This window comes from Homo sapiens, chromosome 17 (genome assembly GCF_000001405.40).
Source record: "Homo sapiens chromosome 17, GRCh38.p14 Primary Assembly".
NCBI lineage: Eukaryota > Metazoa > Chordata > Mammalia > Primates > Hominidae > Homo > Homo sapiens.
The window spans coordinates 62,569,282-62,591,528 of record NC_000017.11 but is presented as its reverse complement, the minus strand read 5'-3'; the positions used below and the strand labels follow the sequence as shown (position 1 = coordinate 62,591,528).

Here is a 22,247-nt window from a genome sequence, read left to right as displayed (position 1 = left end):
GAGGCCTGGCTCCTTGCTGTGGCTCTGTGGCTCCACCTCTCTGAGCTTCGGTTTCGGCACCACTGGACTGGATGTTTTGAAGTGAGCTTGCTGCAGACACTCAGCAAATGTAGCTTTGGCCTCCCCAACCCTCAATTCCAAAGTAGCTCCACGCTGGTTTTTTTTTTTTTTAAATTACATATATTTAACAGTACAGTTTTACACAGAGTGCTAAGAGCACTTTTCTTCATATTTTACAGAAGGGCTAGAAACATACAGATTTTCTTTCTCTTTTCTTTTTTTAAGACAGTCTTGCTCTGGCGCCCAGGCTGGGGTGCAGTGGTGCCATCTTGGCTCACTGCAACTTCCGCCTCCTGGGTTCAAGGGATTCTTCTGCCTCAGCCTCCCAAGTAGGTGGGATTACAGGTGCGTGCCACCATGCCCAGCTAATTTTGTATTTTTAGTAGAGACCGGGTTTCACCATATTGGCCAGGCTGGTCTCAAACTCCTGACCTCATGATCCACCGGCCTCGGCCTCCCAAAGTGCTGGGATCACAGGTATGGACCACTACGCCCTGCCCAGATTTTCTATTAGTAATCATACAATAGCACATCACCAAATCTAGCTCCTAAATAGGATGCATTACAATTTGTTTAGAATTTAAAGGCTTAAGGGCAATAAGCAGGAGAGGAAAAAGTATGTACGTTTTTATTTTACAAAACTGACTGAAAAATACATTCAAGAAACAGTAAAGAGATTTAATACCATCTTGTTGGGTGTGGTGGCTCATGCCTGTAATCCCAGCACTTTGGCGGGCTGAAGTGGGAAGATTGCTTGAGCCCAGGAGTTAAAGACCAGCCTGGGCAACATAGTGAGACCCTATCTCAAAAAGAATTTAATATGATCTCATGTGCCCTGAAGGAGGTGGCACCTGATTAAGAGGGTTAATCGCTATGTCCAAATAATCTCCTACACGGAGCTTCTGCAACTGCAGAGTCACAGAATCATCAGTCCCCTTTCTGCCAGCACACTTGCATTTTTAAATACATTAAGATTCCTTGTAATATTGCATTTGATAAAATAAGCGTGCTGCTGTTTTTGTTTTTGAGACGGAGTCTCGCTCTGTCGCCCAGGCTGGAGTACATACAGTGGCGCGATCTTGGCTCACCACAACCTCTGCCTCCTGGGTTCAAGCAATTCTCCTTCCTCGGCTTCCTGAGCAGCTGGGATTACAGGTAGGTGCCTGCCACCATGCCTGGCTAACTTTTTTTGTATTTTTAGTAGAGACGGGGTTTCACCATGTTGGTCAGGCTGGTCTTGAACTCCTGACCTCAGGCAATCCACCCACCTCCGCCTCCCAAAGTGCTGGGATTACAGGCGTGAGCCACCGTGCCCAGCCGGTGCTGCTGTTTGTTTTTTTTGTTTTTTTTTTCAAGGTTAAAGGCCGGGCACGGTGGCTCATGCCTGTAATCCCAGCACTTTGGGAGGCTGAGGCGGATGGATCACGAGGTCAGGAGATCGAGACCATCCTGGCTAACACGGTGAAACCCCGTCTCTACTAAAAATACAAAAAAGTTAGCCAGGCTTGGTGGCAGGCACATGTAGTCCCAGCTACTCGGGAGGCTGAGGCAGGAGAATGGCGTGAACCCAGGAGGCGGAGCTTGCAGTGAGTGGAGATCGCGCCACTGCACTCCAGTCTGGGCAACAGAGTGAGACTCTGTCTCAAAAAAACAAAAAACAAACAAAAAGTTTAAAAATCTAGGGACTAAACAGATCACTGTTCTAAGTTATTTTTCACTCTAGCATGCTATAAATGTATAGCGCTCTACCCTTTGGTTTTAACTTCTTGATTTTGTGCATTTTACAGCAGAAACCAATTTCTCTTGTTGAGGTACAGAAAACACAGGAAACAAAAGGCAGCAAAAATTTAAGAATCAAAATGTCATTCAAAGTTCTCGCCAATTAAGGGAATTTGCAGAGTGTCGCTGAACCTGTGCCCAGCTCTAAAACCGCATCTCTTACTTCATCAGCAAGGCAATGACTGAGCCATGTTCAACTTTCAACTTATAATCCAAGAGATCCATGCACTACAAATACAGAGAATTTAATGAGAAACTGGAAGAAACTCATCCACCAAAATGTCTTTTACTCTCTTATAAGTTAACATATATTTAGATTTTTCAAAATGCTTACTTTTATCTTTAAAAAATTAGAATAGAGTATCATACAAAAGCATACTAACTCCGATACAAATTACTTCTGCAAATAATTTTAAGTGAAATTTTTCCTACGGCAGAATTTTTAATATGTTATTTGAGGGAGTTAAAGCAGTCGTAATACTAAATTTTTAAAATAAAAATTTTTAATAAAATTTGTTTTTATAATATAAATAAAACAATCAGTTTACTTTTTGTTTGCTTATGGTAGGAGGAGGAGAGGAATGAAGTGACAGAACAAAATTCAAAATACAACAAAACAAACACCTTTTATTTTCTTTTGAAATCTGCCTTCTTTTTTACCAGAATAAATGTCTTGATTCCAGATGGGACTGGGAAGTCATCCCCATGAATGGAAACGCAATTAACAGACCTTACTAGCAGGGTTATAGCATTTTCATATTTTATAATGTCACAACACTGAAGTGTACTACTTTTTAGTTTAATACTGAATTTTTAAAGCACTCATCAATGTCCGTTATGTGCTTGATGTAAGTCTCCTTTTAGTTCAAAGCAGTTAATGACATTTTGTCAATTCGCCATTTTCTATAGCCTGAAATGCATGAGTATGATTTTATATCACTTAGAAAGCCAATTCTTTCAAAAGAAAGGTGGAGGTACTTAAGAATTGTCTCCTCAGTGCTGCTTCCTGATTGGAAAACAAAACAAAACAAAAAAAAGAACTCCCCCCAGCTGCCCAAGCAAGAATGAAGGTCACAACAACTCACACACCCTCTCCCCAAGGTGTCTGCCAAATAGGAAATGCCCCCTCCTCAGATGAGCTCAGGCACCATGATCCCTCCTCTGATGAGGAAACAGAGTAGAAAGGCACCAATGCCAGCCTGGAACTTGAATGGAAAGAACTTAGACAAATAGGACCATCCCCTTCACGTGCTCTCTGATTCTGTCTGGTAGAGACATATGTGAGAAAACACCCAATCCATACCCACCAGGCCTCAGAGTGCTTGCCAACTGTTTGAAGGAGGGACAAGGCCCGGCTTCCACTCCTCAGTGTTTCAAAAGGCTAGATGGGCAGAACGCCCACCTGCAGTTGCTGTGGTATCCAACACTAGAGCTCTCTGCAAGGTCAGCCAGAAACCTGGATACTGAGACTAGGCAAAATACATATACGTCTCAGCACAGGAGACGTATATGTATAAAAATATGTATATGTATAGATGTATACGTATATTTTATACATATACAGATGTATACGTATATTTTATACATATACAGATGTATACGTATATTTTATACATATACAGATGTATACGTATATTTTATACATATACAGATGTATACGTATATTTTATACATATACAGATGTATACGTATATTTTATACATATACAGATGTATACGTATATTTTATACATATACATCTGTATATGTATAAAAATGCCCTACAGGGCATTTTTAAAGAGAAGCATGTACTGGTCCAACACCCTTAGGCATTCTTAGGGTCTCAATACAGTAGTGGCATTGCTCACTTATAACTGGTCAGAACAACATGTGCTTTCCTTCTCTGAAGTGCTCCTGGCACTCACTACGGTGTGCCACTCATCCCTACATATCAAGTGACTGGAATGTTCTTATAATAATGTAACTGCTCCTCAGGAGCATCTGGACTGCAGCTGCCTGTCACCTAAGAAACACACGCAGGGTGCCACAGGTCATCCCTTCTCCCTCTGCTAAGCCCTGTTGCTCTTAATGTAGCAGGAACCTTCCCTTCTCCAGTGCTGAGCACCACTGCCCATCTGTCTGGAACAGGAAGAACTTCTGGGTCCCTGATGAACAAGAGGTATAGAGCAAGAGTTGCCTTGGACCAGGCTAGAAGCCAACTAAAGGGCTACTTCAAAGACCACTGTTTTTCCCCTTCCAAATTATTATTTATAAAACAAACAAACAAACAAACAAAACACCAAAAAAAACCAAGACTGCCTTTATAGAAAGGAGGTGTTTGCTTTGTCAAAAAAGCCTGTCCCCTCCTTTCAAGGGCAGGACTTGTCTGATTCAATACTTGTACCAACAACAAGGAAACAAAACTAAGCCCAGTGGGGAACCTAATAGCAAATTAAGTCTGCATAGCCTCTAAAGCAAATGAGCCATGAACTCCAACGTTCAGAAGCTTGGGGAGATATAGGCAAAACCTGACATCAGTGGAACAAAGCAATTCACAGCTGTGCATATTGTAACAATTCATTTTAAAGAAGCCCCCCCTCTCTACCCCACATCCCAAGTACAGATGAAGGCTGCCACTAGTACTATTCTATAGAGAAGCAAGCACAGAAGTGGGACCCTGAAGACCAAGAACTTTGAGATGGGCAAACTGTGACCGGGAGGAGAACATAGCACAGAGAGGCTGAACAAGTCAAACAGGTGCCACCAAGACACACCAGGTGCCCCCAGTCTCTTCTAGAAGGAAATGACTGAAGTAGCAGAAACAGCCCACCAGCAGCTCCCTAGGGTCTAGTTTCTATAGACAAGCAACAATTTTTTTTTTTTTTGAGATGCAGTCTCGCACTCGCACCATCACCCAGGCTGGAGTGCAGTGACGTGATCTCGGCTCACTGCAAGCTCTGCCTCCCGAGTTCACGCCATTCTCCTACCTCAGCCTCCCGAGTAGCTGGGACTACAGATGCCTGCCACCACGCCCAACTAATTTTTTGTATTTTTAGTAGAGACGGGGTTTCACCGTGTTAGCCAGGATGGTCTCGATCTCCTGACTTCGTGATCTGCCTGCCTCAGCCTCCCAAAGTGCTGGGATTACAGGTGTGAGCCACCGTGCCCGGCCAGCAAAAATGATTTCTAAGGCTTTATTTACTATAGCTATTTCTAGCCACAAAGGAAGGGAAGGTTAAGAGTACCTAGGGCTTTGGATTCAGGAAAGTCTGGATTTAAATACCAGCTCAGCCACTTCCTGTTACTCCAATTCTGTAAGCATCAGTTTCCTCGTCGTAACACTGAGAATGTATTTATTCTCTCAGGGCAGTTATGAAGATTACATAAAACAAAACCAACAACAATGCACGTAAAGCTTGTAGCATAATGCTCAAACTACAGGTATTATTTAATTTTAAAAAGTCAGACACTCAAGTATCACTTACTTGTGGTAATTCTCCTTTTTCTCATCTCTCCAGTTTTTATTTAACTGGTGAATTTTCACAGCTACGTATCTTTGCTCTGTTAGATCAAATGCCTATAAAGAGAATAAATTATATACTGGGTAAATGTTAAGAAAAATTACAGGTAACTGATGTGAAGCTTTAATTTAACATATAACATAATCAAAGTCCAAAATACATTATTAAATACATCACATACTTATATCAGTGTTGCAAGCACCTTCTTGAAACTTGTGATTAGATAATTTAGAAGTCTCCAGACACACTGGCACCAAGGGATTTAGAACATAAAACCAGGCCAACACCACAAACAGAAAGATAGCCCCTGCCTTCAGAATCATTTCCCAACCATTCTCTTTCTGGACACCATCTATTCCTGTCTGGGACCCGTCTGCCTTAGGTTGTCTCTTATCCTTCAGTTGACACTGGGACTTTACAAGCTTCAAACATCCTGTCACTTTTGAAATTCCAGGGACACACACTGCCTGCCTCCTGGAGAAAATAACCCCTCACAATATACTTCTTTGGTATGATTGTTTACAAAACCACCCTGTAATTTGGCATATTGTTTATTAAAATAAAAAGAGAAACAAGAACAAAAAACAGCCCTGCCTTTAGTCCCATCTCTATATGCTGGGTAAATGAAAAGTGGTTTTGTTGTTGTTGTTTTTGAGACGGAGTCTCGCTCTGTCGCCCAGGCTGGAGTGCAACGGTGCAATCTTGGCTCACTGCAACCTCTGTCTCTCGGGTTCAAGTGATTCTCCTGCCTCAGCTTCCTGAGTAGCTGGGATTACAGGCACGCACCATCACGCCCGGCTAATTTTTGTATTTTTAGTAGAGATGGGGTTTCACCATGTTGGTCAGGCTGGTCTCCTGACCTCAGGCGATCCGCCCCGCTTCGGCCTCCCAAAGTGCTGGGATTACAGGCGTGAGCCACTGCGCCTGGCCGAAAAGCAGTTTCTAATCCCAAAAATGGCTGAAGTTAGTCACCCCAAGTCACTTCTCCAGCACTGTCCAGAGGCAGGAACCAGCTTTCCCCAATGGCCACCACTGCCAGCAAGTCCTGCATCAGCTATGTAGTGCTTGCTATAGCACAGTGAAAAAGGTAACATGGATTTTTGAGGAAGCTGGGTGTAAATCATAATTTGATAAAGTAATCTTTCAATTCAATTGAAGATTTCCCTCCAAACAAAAGAATTTATTGCATAGCTTCTTTAGAATAGTTTTTCTTAGTTTGTAAAGTTTAGATTAAAAGCTTACTACTTCAGTTTCAACACTGTTATCACCCATCTGCTAATTTCCACAAATATACAAATAAATGAAGGCAACAAGTGCAGAAAACAGTACCTAAATAGGGTGATCACTACTTTACAGATCTATCTAAACCTAAGTTTCTCTGGATAAGCACTGCATGTAGAGAGAGCTGCTTATAAAATAGAGAAACTTCCATCATTTATACCAAATTAAAACCAGTATGTTTAAAGTATAAAAACCACTCACTTCAGACATAATATCTTATTTCACAAAAATTGCAACATTTTTTATTTTTATTTTTTTATCTAGACAGGGCTTCAATGTGTTTGCCAGGCTGTTTTTGAACTCCTGGCCTCAAGTAATCTTCCCACCTTGGCCTCTCAAAATATTGGGTTAGAGGCAGTAGAGGCCATGCCCGGCCAAAAATGGAAACTTTTGAACTTCTTTTCTTAAAGAATCTTCAGTCCATTCACAATCATGAATACCATTATGGCTTCACAGTAGAAAACCATTTCAAATAATTTTTAAAAACATTAAATAAGCCGGGCGCGATGGCTCACACCTGTAATCTCAGCACTTTGGGAGGCCGAGGGAGGTGGATCATGAGGTCGGGAGATCGAGACCATCCTAACATGGTGAAACCCTGTCTCTACTAAAAAATATACAAAAAATTAGCCGGGTGTGGTGGCGGACACCTGTAGTCCCAGCTACTTGGGAAGCTGAGGCAGGAGAATGGCGTGAACCCGGGAGGCAGAGGTTGCAGTGAGCCGAGATAGCACCACTGCACTCTCCAGCCTGGGCGACAGAGCGAGATTCCGTATCAAAAAAAAAAAAAAAAAAAAAAAAACCACAAAAGAAAAAAACATTAAATACCACCCAATTTATAAGAGCACCAATGCTATTTCAAGCATAATTTTCTCTAACTACTACACTGTACTTCTATTCTAAATCCAAGACACTGTGACCTACCACTGACTTAAGAAAGGATTGTGGAGAGTGGAGAACAGCAAAAGAAAAACTACATTAAATGCACACATCACTGTAAGAAGTATTTAGATTTCAGAAATAAAATGTGTGGGGCTCAGCGTGGTGGCTCACACCTGTAATCCCAGCACTTTGGGAGGCCGAGGCAGGCAGATCACGAGGTCAGGAATTTGAAACCAGCCTAGCCAACATAGTAAAACCCCGTCTCTACCAAAAAATACAAAAATTATCCGGGTGTGGGGTCGGGCGCCTGTAATCCCAGCTACTCGGGAGGCTGAGCCAGGAGAATCACTTGAACCCGGGAGGCAGAGGTTGCAGCAGTGAGCCAAGATCACACCATTACACTACAGCCTGGACGACAGAGTGAGACTCTGTCTCAAGAGAAAAAGAAATAAAATGTTTGAAGAAATACATTAGGAAAAAATAGGATGATCAAATTACTAAAAGTAACTGGGAGGCACCAAGAACCAATTTTGATGATTTAAAATTACATACACTTCTAGGTATACATCCAAAAGAATTGAAAGCAGAGTCTCACAGAGATAACTGGACACCCAAATTCAAAACAGCACTATAGGCTGGGTGCGGTGGCTTGTGCCTATAATCCCAGCACTTTGGGAGGCAGAGATGGGCGGATCATTTGAGGTCAGGAGTTCGAGACTAGCCTGGCCAACACAGTGAAATCCCGTCTCTACTAAAAATACAAAAAAAATAGCTGGGCTTGGTGGTGCACACCTGTAATCCTAGCTACTGGAAGAGGCTGAGGCAGCAGAATCACTTGAACTGGGGAGATGGAGGTTGCAGTGAGCCGAGATTGCACCACTGCACTCCAGCCTGGGCGACAGAGCAAGACTCTGTCTCAAAACAAACAAACAAACAAAACAAAAACAAAAACAACAGCACTATACACGGTAGGCGAGAGATGGAAGCAACCCAAGTGTCCATCGACAGAGGAGGATAAACAAAATGTGGTACATACAATAAAATATTAAGTGATCTTAAAAAGGAAGGCAATCTTGTCACATGCTATAGCACAGATGAACCTTGAGGACATTATGCTAAGTAAAATAAGCTGATTATAAAAAGACGTAGTATGAGTCCACTTCTGTAAGAAATCTAAACATAGTCAAATTCAGAGTAACAGAATGTAAAATGGTTCCAAGGACAAGGAGGAGGGGGAAAGGAAAGTTGGTTAATGGCTACAGAGTTTCAGTTTTGGAAGATGAAAGAAAGTTTGAGATCTATTTCACAAAAAGTGTGAATGTACTTTACTGAACTACACACTTAAAAATGGTTAAGATGGTAAATTTTATATCTATCTTTTTACAATAAAAAATTACAAAGAAAATAAACTAAGCATTGACTTAAGAATGAACATAAATAAAAATGAAGAAAGCAGAAAGAAGGAATGAAAGCAGACATTAATGAAATAGAAAACTAACCAAATAGTTTTGATCAACAAAAAAGTTGATTCTTAGGAAAAAAATTAATAACAACACTGACTAATCTCTAGCCTATCAATCAAGAAACACAAAAATAAAAATTTTACAAGAACAGAGAAGTAACTAAGATGTGGAAAATATTTTTAAAAAATCTAGGCCAAGCATGGTGGCTGTAATCCTAGCACTTTGGAAGACTGAGGGGTGAAGATCACTTCAGGCTAGGAGTTTGAGACCAGCTTAGGCAGCACAGTGAAACCCTGTCTCTATTAAAAAAGAAAAAAAAATCTAAATGAAATAGATTTCCTAGAAAAATTAAATTACCAAAACTGACTTAAGAAGGGAGAGAAAATCTGAATATATCAATAGTTGTAGAAGAAATTGAAAACACAGCCAAATGTTTTCCACTAACTCAACATCTCCCAGGAGATTTTTCTTTTCTTTCTTTGTAGAGGCATGGTCTTGCTATGTTGCCCAGGCTGGTTTCAAACTCCTGTGCTCAAGTGATCCTCCTGCCTCGGCTCCCAGAGTGCTGGGATTATAGACATGAGCCACAGAGACTGTCCTGCCCAAGAATTTTTATGAGTCAACTCTAACAAACTTTCAAGGAGCCAACAATTCCCAAGTGATGAAAAGGGTTCCAGAGCATGGAAAAAAAGAGACTTCACAACTCTATCTAAGTAGCTAGAATAATTATGACATCAAATTTTGACAAAGCTGCTTGCATACAAAAGGTGACTATGGGCCAATCCTACTTATAAACACAGATTAAAAAATACAAATAAGATACTAGAAGCCAGGTGCAGTGGCTCATGCCTGTAACCCCAACACTTTGGGAAGCCAAGGTGTGATCACTTGAGCCCAAGAGTTCAAGACCAGCCTGGGCAACATGATGAAACCCTGTCACTATAAAAAAAAATACAAAAATTAGCCAGGTATGGTGGTACACACCTGTAATCCCAGCACTTTGGGAGGCTGAGATGGGAGTACACTTCAGCTCTGGAGTGGGAGGTTGCAGTGAGCCGAGACTGCACTGCTGCACTCTAGCCTGGGTGTCAGAGTGAGACAATGTCTCCAAAAAAAAAAAAAAAAAGATACTAGAATATCAAAACCAGTAGAGTAGTGCACTAATCATAATATAGTTCTGGAGATGAACAGTGATGTAGTGATGTCAGTCGCACAACACTGTAGTACTTAATGCCACTGAAACATATACTTAATAAAATCACAGCTGGGTGCAGTGTCTCACACCTGTAATCTCAGCACCCTGGGAGGCCAAGGCAGGAGGATTGCTTGAGCCCATAAGTTTGAGACCTGCCTGGGCAATGTAGCAAGACCCCGTCTCTAGAAAAAATTTAAAAATTAGTGCACTGGGCCTGTAGTCCCAGCTACTCAAGAGGTTGAGGCAGGAGGCTTGCTTGTGCCCAGCAGTTTGAGGCTGCAATGAACTATGATTGTGCTACCTTACTCCAGCCTGGGCAATAGAGCAAGACCCCATCTCTAAAATAAATAAATAAATAAAACCACAATTTAAAAAAAATTAAAATAAGAAAACAGTAGAAATAGTTTTACCGTTTTTATTTGCAATGAAAACTATTTTACTGAAAAGATTTATCACATATAAATTCATATGAGCATAACATAAATCCTAACAGTGAAAGCTGTATTTCTGAAAGGGACAGCTATGCAACAAAGACTACTTAATAAACAATTCTGTACTTTACAGACAGGTGCCAGAAACACGTAGAAAAATCAAACCCACATGTTATGGATCTGTAGCTATATTTAAAACATATTGAATCCCTCATTTGGTAAAAATCAACCTGGAAGCTCAGCAGCCTGTACTTCGCTAGCCCAACTGAAGCACTCTAAGCCAGGACACTCTTTCAGACTGCCAGTGCTAGTAAATGATATTAGAACACTTCTAAAACAAAAAGCAGGTTTTCCAATGGAAAAAAACCTATTCTTATTGGAAACAGGTTTGACACATCTATTCTGTAAAAGAAAGAAAGATAGCACATACTTTTTTCTAACAAATATGTATGAGGCAGGAAGTACAGAACCAGAATAAAAATCATAATTCCACGACCCAGTATATTTCCTTCTTGTTTTTTAAATCTATAATTATTTATTTTTCAAACTTGAAAATGGCAATACTGTATTCTGCTTGGTCACTTAGGTTTATTGAAAGCTGTTTTCCCAAAGATACAGGTTTTTAAAGTTTTTGAATTTCAACCAATGGATATCAACCTACAATTATCAGTATTCTTAATGTTCTCCAAGTTGGTAGGAGCCGATAATTTAACCCCCAGTCTTTGTATCCAGTTCCTTATACTTACCTTGTAAACTTCACTGAAACCTCCTCTACCCAAAAGATGTAACAACAAATATCTGTCATTTAGCGTTGGATGATCTTTAAATCTGTGGAAACAGGGAACATGTAACACCCTGAGATCATGGACTACAGTCTTCCACGCTTGCAAAATTCCCAGAATATCTAACACATTATACATATAATTATAGCTGCTGTTGGTAGTTTGACAATCAACATCAACATGGCAAATACTGAGTATAAAGTTACACAGTTCAAAGAGGCAGTGTAATTACAATGAACAGCACCAGCTATAGAGCCACAGGACTTGGGTGCTGGTCTCAGTGTAGCTACACTAGACCTTTCTTGCTCCTCCTCCTTTTTTCTGCCCTGCTATACAATGAGGGAGGGTAGATTAGAGATTTTTAGATTGTGCTATTTGGCTCCTCCAAACTATTCAAGGGCCACATGTTCCCACCATTTCAAAACTACATACAGTAAAATTCCAAGACACTTGCTATTTCCTTAAAAACAGATTTGATTTTAAAGTGAGTCACATGTTCTATGTGCATTCATTATTCTCTCTTTAAGACAGATATAACTGTGTTCCCCATATTAGACTCTACCTTGGGTATTTTCTTAATAATATGATAAAGAAATGACAAGTTCTGGCAAAAACAAATTTAAAAATATTTTTACCTAGTTCCTGATCTTAAACAATCTCACTATTAATTCTGAAATTACTTTACATGGATTTTAAGAAAGTAGGATGCCTATCTGGAGAGACATTACTGCATGGTGGTTTAGATGAAAAAGATCCAAGTTGAACTCTTTGGTCACATTATTTATGGGTCCCTGGGCAAGTTAATTTAATTTCTCTAAGCTTGTTTTCTGATTAATGTATTAAAGATGACTGGGTTATCCTGCGGATTAAATGAGAGCACTAAGGGCACTTAGGACCAAGCCTGATACACAGAGAGCTCTCAGGAAGTGGTACCTGCTGTTGTCTGCCACTTTAACAGAAAGACAGGTCCAAAGCTCATATAAGCCAAACAAAAATATACAAGCTATGGCTTTATGAAAAAATGTTTCAGGGTCCAAAAAATATGGGGAAAAAACAGATTACTTATAAAAACCCCTTTCTACTTTCAACCTACTTTTCCCAGTTTCAATTCATCTACAATTAATGTACTGAACTTAAGAGTCTTACTTAAAATCTCAACACCTGAATAGCCCTTAAAGGTCATTCAGAAACCGAGTGTCATCTCAACCCAATACTCTTTCCACAACACCACACTGTGACCCATCTTCCCTTTCTTAAGGCTCTGTAGGAAAATCTGAATATGCAACATATCTCAACCATTTACAATTACAAAGCCATATTGTTTTAGTAATCTTTATTCATGTAAAAATGCTATATGTATACACATATATACTTAATATATAAATTTAATACAATTGTATATTTAAACCAAGGCAAATCATAATTTTGTTCACAAAATTGTATTAGATGCTACAAAAGAGCTAAATACACCATGGAATCATTTATGTAACTTACATTAAGCAAACACATTATTCTAGACCATTCAATTCATATCATAAAATGCTTAGCAATCTCCAACCCAATATGCCCTGAAGTAGCTTACTGTGAATTATCTTCATTATGTATCCTTTTTAGTTCCCTGATATGTAGATTTCTAACCCTTTCTAGTCTCTCCAGCTCTGCCTGGATCTCTGCTTCCTCCTAAAGCGAAAAGGAAAGAAATAGCACAAAATAGGGGGAACTTTACCTTTTCGGGATCTTATTTCAAAAACAATAGCAGACATTTATCTTATGAAAGGCTAAAGGAAGGTGCTTTGCATTGAAAGATTTCTTTAAGAATTTTAATCATAAAAATGAGCCCATAGAAAATAATAAAATTCAAACCATACAGAGGAGTTCAGTAAGAAAAGTAAAAGTTCCCTACCCTCCTCCTCCCTCCTCTCCATGCCCACTCCTGAGATGTAATAACCACTATTAAGTTTCTTACATAAGTTTTCAGGAATGTTTTGTGCATATACATTTAGACATGGAAACATTTTTTACAAAAATCAGGTTATCTATCTGGTTCGGTTCTCATCTTTAAGTATGGATTACACTTGGTGACTTAAGTTCTACTTATTTTTATTTTTTAAGATGGAGTTTCGCTGTTGTCACCCAGGCTGGAGTGCAATGGCACGATCTCGGTTCACTGCAACCTCCGCCTCCCAGGTCCAAGTGATTCTCCTGCCTCAGCCTCCCGAGTAGCTGGGATTACAGGTACATGCCACCACGCCCAGCTAATTTTTTGTATTTTTAGTAGAGTCGGGGTTTCACCATGCTGGGCAGGCTGGTCTTGAACTCCTGACCTCAGGTGATCCACCCACCACAGCCTCCCAAAGTGCTGGCATTACAGGTGTGAGCCACCATCCCCAGCAAGTTCTACTTATTTAACAAGCTCTGAGAACCCAGTGGGAAAACAGCATGAAAACTAATATGTGAAATAAAAAACAAAAGCACACATACCAAAAGCAGTTTAGTAAATCTTTACTGACCATTATCACCTATAAAGAGCATCGACCAATGTATGGGCTTCTGAATTTTAAGAGCTGAGTAATCCACATCTAAGATATCTCAGTGAACATCATCAATAACAAATTCTATGTTATGTGCCTTTGTATTTGAATAAGGTTCACATAACACTTTCTCTTTTTAGCTAGTTTAGGCAAGGAATAAGAGCTGCTATGTGATTTGAAATATGACAGGAGTCTTCACATCAATTTCAAAACCATCTGCTCTTGTTATATATTTAAATTTTACTCCAAGGATAACCACTTGGGAAGCCTTATGATGTGTACAGAATTATCTGCTGATAGATCACTAGGGGGAAAAACACTGTCATTGGGTTGCTGGAATTGACTTGAAAATGCAAAGATAGGCCAGGCATGGTGGCTCACACCTGTAACCCGTAATCCCAGCACTTTGGGAGGCCGAGGCAGGAGGATTACTTGAGGTCAGGAGTTCGAGACCAGCCTAATGGTGAGACCCCCGTCTCTACTAAAAATACAAAAATTAGCTGGGTATGGTGGCACGTGCCTGTAATCCCAGCTAGTCAGGAGGCTGAGACACGAGAATCGCTTGAGCCCGGGAGGTGGAGGTTGCAGTGAGCCAAGATCGTGCCACTGCACTCCAGCCTGGGAGACACAGTGAGACTCCAACTCAAAAAAAAAAAAAAGAAGAAGAAAGAAAATGGAAAAATATGAGTTCTACCATTAGGCTACAAGACATGACAGTGAAAGCAGTCACTGAAGCTTTCTGCTGCTATGTGCAGCTACTATTACATTCACCCAAATGACCAAATAGCTTCAACCCCAAATTTAAACTAGGTATCACATTTCTCCAGGGAGATTTTCTCATTATACTTACCTTTTTAAGATGACCTAATCTGAGTTTGAAGATTTCTTCTTGTTCATGGTATTCTGCTAACGTTAACCTGAAAAACAGTGGTAAAAGTTTCAGTAAACTACTAGAAATCATAGTTTGCCTGTTTAAAGAGAAATGCTCAAATATACTATAAGACATATTCAGTTTCAGTCTCAGTTAAAATGACTGAAAGATGGGTTATCTTGTAGTCCTCTGACAAGAGAAAACTTCTGTGATTTACCAGATGTGATGTGAGGGAAGAACTTCAAAGCCAGAAGTCTAATTTGCAAAACATAAAAAAGAAAAAAAAGTGAGCCATATTTTTATATTATTTTTGAAATGAGTTTTGTGCCATATATTACTAAGATAAAAACTCATTCAGAGACAGCCAAAAATTCTCTAAAAATTTTTTAGAGGGCAAAACAATAAGCCAATGGATTTGATTATTCTTGTTAATACTTAAACCTTGATACTGTAATAACAAAGAGAAAGATATAGCAGCAAATTAGAGTCTAGGATTTGGAGTCTGAGGACTAGGGTTCAAAGCACTACTAAGCTACTGGCCATGTGACCTTGCGCAAGCAAATTTAACCTCTTTAACTCAGTTTCCTGAAATGCAGCAAGTGATAATACCTATCTAAGAAAGAGTGACTATTAAATGACAACATATAAAGAATATTGAAAATGCTATTTAAATCAACTCTCAAAGGGCTGACTTGATGGGTAGTCATGTGTTTCATGTTCCAACTACTCCAACAGCATCCTTACATCTCAAGAATGAACAAGTGGCCAGGCTTGGTGGCTCACTGTAATCCCAGTACTCTGGGAAGCTGAGCGGGAAGGACTTGGAGCCAGGAGTTTGAGACCAGCCTGGGCAACAAAGCAACACTCTGTCTCTGTGAAAAAAAGAAGAAAGAAGCTGGGCATGGTGGCACATGCCTGTAGTCCCAGCTACTCAGGAGGCTGAGATGGAAGGATTGCTTGAGCCCAGAAGGTTGAGGCTATAGTGAGCTATAATCATGTCACTGCACTCCAGCCCAAGCAACAGAGCAAGGCTCTGTCTCAAGAAAGAAAAGAAAAGAAAAGAAAGAGAGAGAGAGAGAAAGACAGAAAGAAAGAAAATAAAAGAAAAAAAGATGAACAAGTGAGAATTATTTTTTCTTCCATCTCTACCTTCTTCGCATTCTAGAAGCATATAGATATTTAATATTTTTAGATATCACTGTTTAGATATATTCTAAATAGCAGAAGAAAGGGGAAATATCTATCCTATCAACCAGAACAGAGCCTTTGAGGTCTAACTCAAGAAAAAATAGAAAGAAGAAGAAACTCACCCACTAGGGCTATCTCTTTACAGATGCAGAAATACCTGTATCTATTACTCCATTCCACACCAGCGAAAAACAGAAAAATTAAAAATGATGGCTAAGAATTCTCTGTCTGAAACAGGTTCGGGGCCAAGAAAGGATAATATGGCTCACTCCAAGACCCCAGAGGCCTACTTCTGGCTTCTGGTCAAAGTAAGAGCCAAGTCACAGATACTCTAATTAAAAACTGGACTGAAAGTCTTCCAGATTGGATTTTACACAGGACACCAGATAGCAATTGCTTACACATTACTAGCCTAGATTGCATTCTAATTATTCTTCTGTGGCAAAGAAACAACCTATGCTTTCTTTATCACTCCTAAGCCAATGGTTTTGTGCATTAGCATTAAATAATTTTCAAATAATACTAGAGGGAAAGTCCCTTCACAAAATACACACAGGAGTCATGAAAGAAAACATTGGTCAGATTAATTAGCCTGGACAATCTTTCAAATTTGAGCCCCTACTTGGACTTGCTGAAAGGAAAATACTTTATATTTAAGACTCAATACTCTTCCCCTCTTCTCATTCTCATTATTGCACTTGACTAGTCTTTAAAATCAAGGGAAAACAAGACTCTAGTTTTGTAACATTTGGGCTGGGTGCAGTAGCTCGCACCTGTAATCCCAGCACTTTGGGAGGCCGAGGAGGGTGGATCATTTGAGGTCAGGAGTTCAAGACCAGCCTGGCCAACATGGAGAAACTCCATCTCTACTAAAAATACAAAAACTAGCTGGGCATGGTGGTGCACGCCTGTAGTCCCAGCTACTCAGGAGGCTGAGGCAGGAGAAACGCTTGAACCCAGAAGACAGGTTTCAGTGAGCCGAGATAGCACCACTGCACTCTGGCCTGGGCGACGGAGTGAGACTTCGTCTCAAAAAAAAAAAACAACAACAACAAAATTTGGAGTTATATGAATGAAGATGTTTTCCAAGTTCATTATGCACATTTTTATCGCTATACTTAATGTAATTATTAGTTTATTCGTCTGTTCATCTCACCTAAGTAAACTGTGGGCTCCTAAGGCTGGGGCTGTATCCTTTAGCTCTGTATTCCCAGAAGAGGGCCTAGCATAAAATAAGCATTTAACATAAACTTACTAAACGAACATCAAGGAAGAGACTTCCCAAAACATCAGATATGTATGGGGTGAGGATTGGTGTTAAGCCATCTTTCTCACTAGAATGAAAGAAGATGCACTTCTAGGATGCCACAGACTTTTAACAATAATATAATACAAGTATTATTATACCTGAAGTGGATTATGTGTTGTTTTTGTGAACTAATATGAAAACATAAAGCAAATGACATATTAGTTGATAAGTTATATATCTTTTATCTGCAGCTATCTTTGGACTTGAAACTTACTTTCAGTTAAACAGAAAGGAAGAGAAGAATGGAGAAGGCAGGCATTTGTGCTTAGAATTTTCTACTCCTCCTATATATGGTAGCTATGTAAATATTGTTGAGTGACAGAGAAAAAGATGACTGTACTGCAGTTTAAGATACTGGTGTTTTCCTTAGATTCCCAGAACAGGAAACAATTCTGATGAGATCAAGTTGTGGCTTATTGGGACAATGTCCTTTTCTAACATAACAGCTTTCTGGGGGGCTTATCCTAAGTTTGTGACTATTAACTAAGTGCTCTTTTGACCAGTAAAGAGCATTCTTCAGTCTGAAATAACAGCCAGGTAACTCCCATAAGATGATACTAGTGTACCACACCCTGCAGCCACATGTAAGCAATAATATCATTTCAGTACAATGACATCTTATTTGTTAACCAGGAGTGGCCAAAAGTCATGATGTCAAGTGACATTACTTTTCCCTCTCATTCAAAATGCCCTAAAGAAAGAGCAGGTTTAAGAAAATCAATTAATTTTATATGGCATTTATATGAGTTGAGCAAATCCATTAATGTAACTGAAAAGAAGGTTTAAACCTGAGTGACCTCAAGAATTTAAAACTATTGCCGGTGACAATCAACATTTGTATTTGGGGGCAGGGTGTGGTGTCTCAGCGTTCACGTCAATAAAGAACATACGTTTCATTTTCAGCTCCATTGGTCTTGCTTTTCCGCTGTTTCTGCTCATTGGTTGCAGGAGGGGCCTGACCCATGGCAGGAGGTTTCCGCTTTGCTAACATTTTCCGTTGTCTTTCTATCTCTTCCCTCTGTGAATTTATCCTTTCCTGTTGCCTAGAGATATAAAAGACGTTGTACAAAGAAAGAAAGTCAAAAGTTTTACCACAGCTATGGAACACACACAATTTGTCACTTGTGTATCCAATTTCAGAAAAAATAAGCCCCTTTAAGTCAAGTAGAGATTTGATTTTAACTTCAGATTGGAAGGGCCAAATAATTGGTGATAGATGTTTTCTGGGAATGAGTCTGTGCTTTAAGACACTAGTTATTACTATTTTCAGAGTGGACAGGAAGGAACATATCAAATTTCTATTGTGACCTTATTTTCTGACTCAGAAGGAACAATTTTCTGATTCCTTTTTAACAGCTAAGGAAACAATTCTCTGATCTGAACCCATTAAAAGTAAATCGTATTTTAAAAGTTGTAAAAAGTTCCAAGTTCTATTTTATTTTTCTTTGGATGAAAGCTTCTCAGTTTTACGTAAAAAGATACCAAGTTTGTAGGATGCTAAAGAAAGTAAACAAGATTTTCTTTTTAGACCTATCCTTTATTCTAGTCTAAGGGAGCCATTACTACTCTACACGTCAACCCCGCCCACTGATACAGTGACACCTAGATTAAGTTTTTAAAAGAAAAATACATTTGGAGAAAGCACAACGAAGTCTTCCAACTAGTAAGAACTCCTTAGGGAATAGTATACAAAATGAATTAGTATAAAACATATTTTACAACTGCAGTTAATCTAACACCATTACCATTAGAGTATTTCCTAATAAGATGTCACATTTTTCTGTGATTAACTAGTTTACAAATTAGGGACCAATAAAAACTCCATTGTAAAAAAAAAAAACACTTTCTCTCATGTATCCTACCACCTAACAGATATTAAGGTTTACAGACTTGGTATATAAAAACATACAAAATTGGAGATTAACCATCTAACAGGTTAGTCTTTAAGTCACCCACTATAATTGACAATCAAATGATAGCTCCCTTCTCCTTCTTCCTCTACTGTGCTTTTCCACACATTCTCTTTTGTGGAACCAACCTTCATTTTTGTGGAATAATAAATCTTTTTTTTTTTTTTTTTTGAGACAGAGCCTCACTCTGTTGCCCAGGCTGGGATGCAGTGGCACGATCTCAGCTCTCAGCTCACTGCAAGCTCTGTCTCCCAAGTTCAAGTGATTCTCGTGCCTCAGCCTCCCTAATAGCTGGGATTACAGGTGTGCGCCACCATGCCCAGTTAATTTTTGTATTGTTTTAGTAGAGACAGGGTTTCATCATGTTGGCTAGGCTGGTCTCAAACTCTTGACTTCAAGTGATCCACCCGCCTCAGCCTCCCAAAGTGCTGGGATTACAGGCATGAGCCACCGTGCCCGGCAAAATCTAATTTTTTAAAACCTACACTCAAATGGAAGTTGCTCTACCCTCTTCCCTGAACATTGCTGTCAGATCTTTTCCAGATTCAGTACAGTATCTTTCGTGGAAGAACGACAAGCAGAAAACCAAGATTACTCTAAGGTAGATACCCACAATACAGTTTATTCGAACATATCTAGAAGGGCAATGCTGTATGCAAAATTAACCTAATCAGAGTATTACAAAGAAACAGCCAGTCACTTGATAATACTATGCCCTTGGCTTCAAGATGAGCCAGGTCACTGATTAGACATCAATCGAACAGCAAAATGAAAATGATAATTCAAGAGTTTTCTGTTTGCCTGAAAATTCTTTTTGATTATTAGCTAGACCTCCTCATCCCTACTCACAGAACACATATAAGGATGGCTCTCCATATCCATGGATTCAACCAACTGCAGATTGAAAATACACGAAAAAAAAAAGATGGCTGCATCTATACTGAATATGTACAAACTTTTTTCCTTATTATTCCATAAACAATATAGTATGACAATTATTTACATAGCATTTACATTTATTAGGTATTATAGGTAATCCAGAGGTGATTTAAAGTATATGGGAGGATATGCATAGGCTATGTGCAAATACTACAGATTTTATATCAGGGACTTGAGCATCCATGGATTTTGGTATCTGAGGAAGGTCCTGGAACCAATTCCCCACAAGGGACAACTATATATATAATTCATGGCTTGAAAGAAATCTGGGTTGAGACACAGAATCCTTAAGTAAAAAATCACAATCTTTATTCTGGAGAAAACATTTACCTTAACTGAACATGAATTTCCCAATTAAAAAACTAGTAAACATCTTTAGCTCATTTCTACCCTTTTCAGGGGCCATGAATGTAAGACACTCTGAACTCCCTACAGATAAACATACAATATACAGTTTAAACTATAAACTAGAGTAGCTTAGTGGAGTGCCACAACATTTTGTCTTTGAAGATTAACAGTGTTTTGCAAAATTGAGATTTTAGCAATCACCTTCATCAAACATGAAAATAATCTATTATTTTCAAGGACAATTCATATGTTTAATCTCTTCAGATTCACCAAGAAATGCTCCCCACAGCCATAATATATATAAACCATAACACAAGGGACACAGATTCCAAAACACCTTTAGGGAAATCCTAAACTGCACATTCTGAGAACGAAAGTTTGAACATGAAAGCTGATGCACCAAAGATCAATGTTACGTATTTTAAGGATTCCCATATCAATTCTTGATGTTCCTGAAACTGTTTAGCTATTGAAGAAGAAAAGAATAAAGAGAGTCTATCAGTGGTACTTCATTTAGATTTATTTTGGGAGTACAAAGGCTGGATTATGTCAAACTGTAACTTCTCACAGAACAGGAATCGTGTCTTAGCAATCCGTATATCCCCCAGCATGCATTAACAGTGCCTTTCACAGAGTTGATCCTTAAATATTTCTTGTATAGCATCAATTTTAGAGAGCGCTCGCCCTTCATCACCCATAGCAAGAGGCTATTTCTTCTATATTTTACAGAAGTATTGAGGACCCAATAAATCCATCTCATTCAAATCTAAATAACTCTATTTACCAAGCCACTGCCTGCAAAAGAGAAACAAGACAATCAATCTTCTGCACCATTATGGGTTGTGTCCCCCAAAAGATGTGTTAAAGTCGTTAGTACCTCAGGATATGACCTTATTTGGAAATAGGGTGAATAAAGATATTACTAGTGAAGATGAGGTCATACTGGACATGATAGGACCTTAATCCAATATGACCGGTATCCTTATGAGAAGAGAAGACACAGAGACGCACAGGGAGAGCACCATGTGAAGAGGAGACAGAGAATGGAGTTATGCTGCCGCAAGCCCAACACCTGGGGCTGCCACACTGCTGAAGAGGCAAAGAAAGATGTTCCCTAAAGGTTTGAGGAAGTATGGTCCTGCCCCACCTTGATTTCAGACTTTCAGACTCCTGAAGTGTGAGAGAATACATTTCTGTTACTTTAAACTACCCAGTTTATGGTATTTGTTACAGCATCCCAGGAACTGAAATGCGGGTACCTTCAGCAGCAAAACTACATTTTACACTTCAACCATACAAGAAGTAACTAGTAGTAAAGGTATTTTAAAAAATGTGGCCGGGCGCGGTGGCTCACACCTGTAATCCCAGCACTTCGGGAGGCCAAGGTGGGCGGATCACTTAGTTTGAGACCAGCCTGGCCAATATGGTGAAACCTCGTCTCTACTAAAAATACAAAAATTAGCCAGGAGTGGTGGTGTGTGCCTGTAGTCCCAGCTACTCAGGAGGTTGAGGCAGGAGAATTGCTTGAACCCAGGGGGCAGGGGTTGCAGTGAGCCGAGATCACGCCACTGCACTCCAGCCTGGGCAACAGAGCAACACTCCATCTCAAAAAAAAAAAAAAAAAAAGCACGTATTTCCAGTCATTATTTAAACAAAATTATTTTAAATAATCTGTTATCTATTTCATCTCTGAGAGGTCTGAAACTTCAAAACTTCAAACAACATGTCAATATCCCAGATGGGTTGTTTTTTTTTTTTGGAGACGAAGTCTCACTCTGT

At 39.4% G+C, this 22,247-nt stretch overlaps 1 protein-coding gene across 43 annotated transcripts in view, besides 1 other annotated feature; it reads right to left on the bottom strand.

Annotated features, from left to right (window-relative positions):
- The window catches only part of TLK2 (tousled like kinase 2), a 144,568-nt gene that overhangs the window by 23,953 nt on the left and 98,368 nt on the right, over positions 1–22,247 (bottom strand). For 22 of the 43 annotated variants that reach the window (XM_047435179.1, XM_047435182.1, NM_001375271.1 and 19 more), the window contains 5 exons: positions 18,162–18,314; positions 14,754–14,820; positions 12,955–13,052; positions 11,337–11,418; positions 5,303–5,394 (listed from right to left, as the gene is read on the bottom strand). In XM_047435179.1, coding sequence (XP_047291135.1) covers positions 5,303–5,394; positions 11,337–11,418; positions 12,955–13,052; positions 14,754–14,820; positions 18,162–18,314 — 492 coding nt within the window. Of the gene's footprint in view, positions 1–1,846; positions 2,068–5,302; positions 5,395–11,336; positions 11,419–12,954; positions 13,053–14,753; positions 14,821–17,118; positions 17,185–18,161; positions 18,315–22,247 lie in introns of those variants that run through there. The other 21 variants (XM_024450552.2, XM_024450553.2, XM_011524221.3 and 18 more) reach the window with 2 other exon arrangements.
- Positions 17,514–17,714: a silencer, noted in NCBI's record as "peak2935 fragment used in MPRA reporter construct". NCBI's record gives its function as "represses an SCP1 promoter by STARR-seq MPRAs in K562 erythroleukemia cells {active_cell/tissue: K562}" and the evidence as "EXISTENCE:reporter gene assay evidence [ECO:0000049][PMID:32103011]".